The sequence below is a fragment of the Homo sapiens genome, chromosome 8 (genome assembly GCF_000001405.40).
Source record: "Homo sapiens chromosome 8, GRCh38.p14 Primary Assembly".
Taxonomy (NCBI): domain Eukaryota; kingdom Metazoa; phylum Chordata; class Mammalia; order Primates; family Hominidae; genus Homo; species Homo sapiens.
In genome coordinates this window covers 134,227,688-134,232,241 of record NC_000008.11, presented here as the reverse complement: position 1 = coordinate 134,232,241, position 4,554 = coordinate 134,227,688, and the positions used below count along the sequence as shown (strand labels likewise).

General features: G+C 40.4%; 1 annotated feature.

Annotated features, from left to right (window-relative positions):
* Window positions 502-796: an enhancer, noted in NCBI's record as "tiled region #13712; K562 Activating DNase matched - State 24:Quies, and HepG2 Activating non-DNase unmatched - State 24:Quies". NCBI's record gives its function as "activates a minimal TATA promoter and a strong SV40 promoter by Sharpr-MPRA in K562 cells, with weak activation in HepG2 cells {active_cell/tissue: HepG2 | K562}" and the evidence as "EXISTENCE:reporter gene assay evidence [ECO:0000049][PMID:27701403]".

Genomic DNA, 4,554 nt, shown 5'->3' with positions numbered 1-4,554 from the left:
AGTCTTCTTTTTTTTATATCTGCCATATCCAGGATTTCTGTTTGTACTTAGGGAAGAATAGGATAGAATACATCTACTTCATCTTTCTGAAAGCAGAAGTTCTGTCCTTGATATGGTTTGGCTGTGTCACCACCCAAATCTCACCTTGAATTGTAATAATCCCCTCAAGTCAAGGGTAGGGCCAGGTGGAGATAATTGAATCATGGGGGCAGTTTCCCCCATACTGCTCTCATGGTAATGAATAAGTCCCATGAGATCTGATGGTTTTATAAAGGCAGTTCACACACACATGCTCTCTTGCCTGCCACCATGTAAATTGAGCCTTTTCTTCTCCTTTGTCTTCTGCCATAATTATGAGGCCTCCCCAGCCATGTGGAACTGTGAGTCAATTAAACTTCTTTCCTTTATAAATTACCCAGTCTTGGGTATGTCTTTATTAGCAGTGTGGGAACCGACTAATACATTCTCTTTTTAATTATTAAAAGTGTGCTCTAGGTTAAAGCTTTAATCCGAAGTATATTTTTAAACTTCGTGTTGAGTGACCTGAAATGGGAAGAGATGTGTGATCATGAGATCTGCACTGTCATTTCTCCTCCATTTTGGAGTTGAGAGAGAGGGGGGCGGGGTGAGATGATCATAATCTGCTTTGTCCCCAAATGAGACACACACACATCTCCTTTCTCCTCCTTATCTTAGTCCAGCTTCTCTGGAGCTAGAGAAGGCAGGGACTCTATTTTGCAACTGACCATGTGATAACAGTGAAGAGACATTCCTTGTTACTCTCGGTTTGGTGTGGTTTGACCTGTTCTTGGCAATTTTCTCAAAGATAGTGGCCTCTGAGGAGTGCAGGTGGTGTCCTCTGAGGGGTGCTCAGTGTTATTCTGGCCATCTCAGAGGGGACAGAGTTCACTCTTATCACAAACACTGCTCTTCCTACTAAGGTTGCCAGATTTAGCAAATAAAAATATAGGACAACCAGGTGAATGGAAATTTCCAATAATCAAGTAATAAGTTTTTAGTATAATTATGTCCTATGCAGTATTTGGAACATACTTATAGTAAGAAAAGTTATTCCTGTTGATCTGAAATTTAAATTTAACTGTGTGCCTTGTATTTTATCTAGTAACTGCATCTGCAAGGCCAATTATTCTTGCCCTTTCATTTTTCCTCTCTCTTATACCATGATAAGAAGGGGTGGGATGTTTGAAGGCTCTTATAGGGAAGATTCTTATATTTCTTAGTAATCCCTGGGAGAGAAGTCCAGGCCTAATTGCTTACAGCCCTCCTTAGAATGTGGGGGTAATTAGTGCTTCCTTGTTCTTGACTCTAAGCTTTAATTCTTAGGAAATAGGAAAACTCTTATTCATCATGCTATTGTAGAGAAAAGGATTAGACACTCTATAATCAAATGCTACACCAAATGCAATCATTTTCCAGAGTATATATTTTGGGTAATGAATGTTGTGGACACTGAGAAGGGGAAACACCAGTCAGGGTTGGATTTGTTTCCCAGTGCCTCTGGGTCTCTGTTTCCTCATTGGAAGATGATGTGATTGAACTGGGGGACATCTGAATGAAACATGGTATTTAATGGGTTATTTCCTGCTGCTTCAGAGTTTTGGCTGAGGATCCATAGCTGGGGACAATAAGAAAAATAATAGCCAATATTTATAATTATGGATGAGAAACTGCTGTTAGAGCTTTGAATATATTTCCTCACTTAATCCTTAAAACACCCTCTGTGATGGGTACTATTATTATCATGCCCATTTCATCAACAAAGAAACTAGGAGACTGAGAGGCAAATTGGCCAAGATCACCATGGATGACAGGTGCCCCATGCAGTCTGAGACTTGTCTCCACAGTTTCACCATGAATGTCCATGCAGATCCAGTGAACATCAACCCTGCTTTGCAGAAAAGGCTGGAGAGCCATTGCAAAGGCATCTTTGAAGACAATTATGAGAAACACAGGACATGGCAATTGTTTTACTTCTGTGAGTGTGTGTGTGTGTGTGTGTGTGTATGCACACGTGCCAAAGAGAGGAGGGAGGTGTGGTCCCATAGTCTAAGCTGATGATGAGGAACCCTAAGTAGGAGTTGACTCAGTGCCTGGGGAACTTGCTCTGTGGTGTGGGCTGAGGATGTTCAAAGCCCCACAAAGACCCCCACAGGAAAGAGCTAGCCTTGCATGCCTGCCATCACAAGGCATTTGATAGTCCAGAGAGGGCTTCAAATACTTAAGCTAAGTAAAAACACCTTTTGTATATTTTCTCTTATCTTTCACTCTTCTCTTGTCTGGACACTGGAGGAGTCCAAAGGAGCAGGTGTAGTGGAGGGAGATATGGAGCAAGGAAGGAGGTGGAACCAGTCATGCCCCCCACCCCTGCTCCCCGCTGGTTCCAGAGCTGAGAAATAGGAGAGGGGGAGCTTCCAAAGGACACTGAGATGAAAGGGTTGATATAGCAAGATTATATTTTCTGATACCTGAACATGGAACTGTTCTTATAGGTGAAAATGGCTAAACATCTTTAGTATCTGCTTGAGATGCTGTTAAGGGGAAGACCAGGGAGATGCAACAGAACAGATTGAGGTAGTGCCAAAACAGTAAAAACAACAAAACACAAAGAAAGAAAACCTTGTTACTGTTCCTTATCAAATGTACCTGGTTCAGTAAGCCAGCAGTAATGAATTGGTTGCCAGGTTGCCCTGGAAACCAGGTTGCCCAGTGCCTCTGGGTCTTCCTCCATTTCTTCATTGCCAGATTGAGGTGGTTGCATCTGGTGATTTCTGTGCTTCCTATTTCATGTTTGAAAAGTAACGGAAATCAATACAGTGTAGCTCAGGAATCCACCTCCCAGGGGCTTATGTTATCTTCTGGGAATATTTTTAAGATTTAAATACAATTATCTGAGTCCCCATGTAGTATGTCCCTTCCACAAGATTTCTGAGATCCTGGAGTTGGGAGTGTTTGGGGGATTCCAAATCTATGCTCCCCTCTCACTTCGTTTTTGCACAGGAGTGATGGGAATCACTGTCTTCCAATCCAAAAGGTAGATTCCACCCCTCCCTGCCATGTCGTTTGGGTCTCTCATTCTATCACACTCTCCACTTTTCTTTGTCTCTTTCTCATTTTTTCTCTTCTTCTCTCTCCCAAATGCCATTCATTTCCCTCCATTTCTTAATTTATGAGGCTCCAAACTCTTTTTCTCTGCTTTTGCCCCTTTGTAATTCAAAATTTATTTCCCCTTAGGATTTTGAGCAAGTCCTCTCTCTCTTTGCCTCCCCTTTCTCATCTGGGCTCAGCCCAGGGGCCTCACTTTTCTCCTACAAAAGGACACATCAAGATGATTCATAAATAATTGTGCCTTATATTCTCTTGAATTATGCCACTACCTTGGAGGAAAAAAGCAGCTTCTGTCAGTTTATGTTCTAAAGAGTGTCTACCTTCCCTCTGCTCTAGCATAATATGTGAGTCTGGTAGGAGTTGATGATGATGATGATGATAATGATAATAATAATAATAATAATAATAATAATAATAATAATAGCAACAATATCCCAAGAGCCACAAAATCCATAAATGGAAGCACTTAAAACTTCTGATGTTTTGTAAATTGACTCCGTCAGAAGACAGTTCATTGTGTATTTCACAACAGACACAGATGACATCAATTCCCTTGAGATTTGGGTTCTTTTTAACTAGTGTGCCTACAAACAAGGTGGTACTTCTCATTAACGCTTACCATAATATTCTTACATGCAGAGACCTTTTTATAGTGCATTCCTGTTTTTGAAGCACTTTCATGAGTATTCTCTTGCTTACTTCTCAGTGCAATGCTATCAGATGCATCTCATTATCAACACCCATTTTATATATAAACCAACTGAGGCATTAAATGACATATTCTGTAAGTGACAGGTCCAGTTTGGAAGGCTGGATCATCTGTCTTCAAATCTCATGCCATTTCTGGGGTAAATATTCAAACAAATCTCTCTTATATATGGGGTAAGATAGGAGCAGACAGGTTCTATAGGACTTTGGGTAATCTGCAAAAATCTTTTTGGAGGAGAGAACATTTGGTAAGGGCCTTAAGGGAGGGTTATATAGCACATCAATGATCTTGCATGGGAACACATGTTATATACAATTTGGGAAACCCATTCTTTAGTAGTAGGATTTGTAAAACATTATTTTATTGTTTGTTGGTGTGCCATGGAACAGAGTCAAAATGCTCTTCTAACACATTTCAACTGGAATTGGGGAGAGGCACTGTTTATTGAGTGCCAACCCACGTGCCAAGTAACCTATATGCATTTTCTTACTTAAGCCATACAATTATTAATGACTTTTTAAAACAAGAAAGCTTAGAGAATAGGAGTTTATGTGACTTGTAGAAGTGAAGTATCCATTAATAATTGCAATAGCAAACATTTATTGAGCATGTAATATGTTCCAGACACTTTACACCTTTATTATCTCAGTCATCATCCCCAAGATTGTATATGGGAGACATCATTATTGCTGGAGTTTGAGGGGACCAATGAGTATATA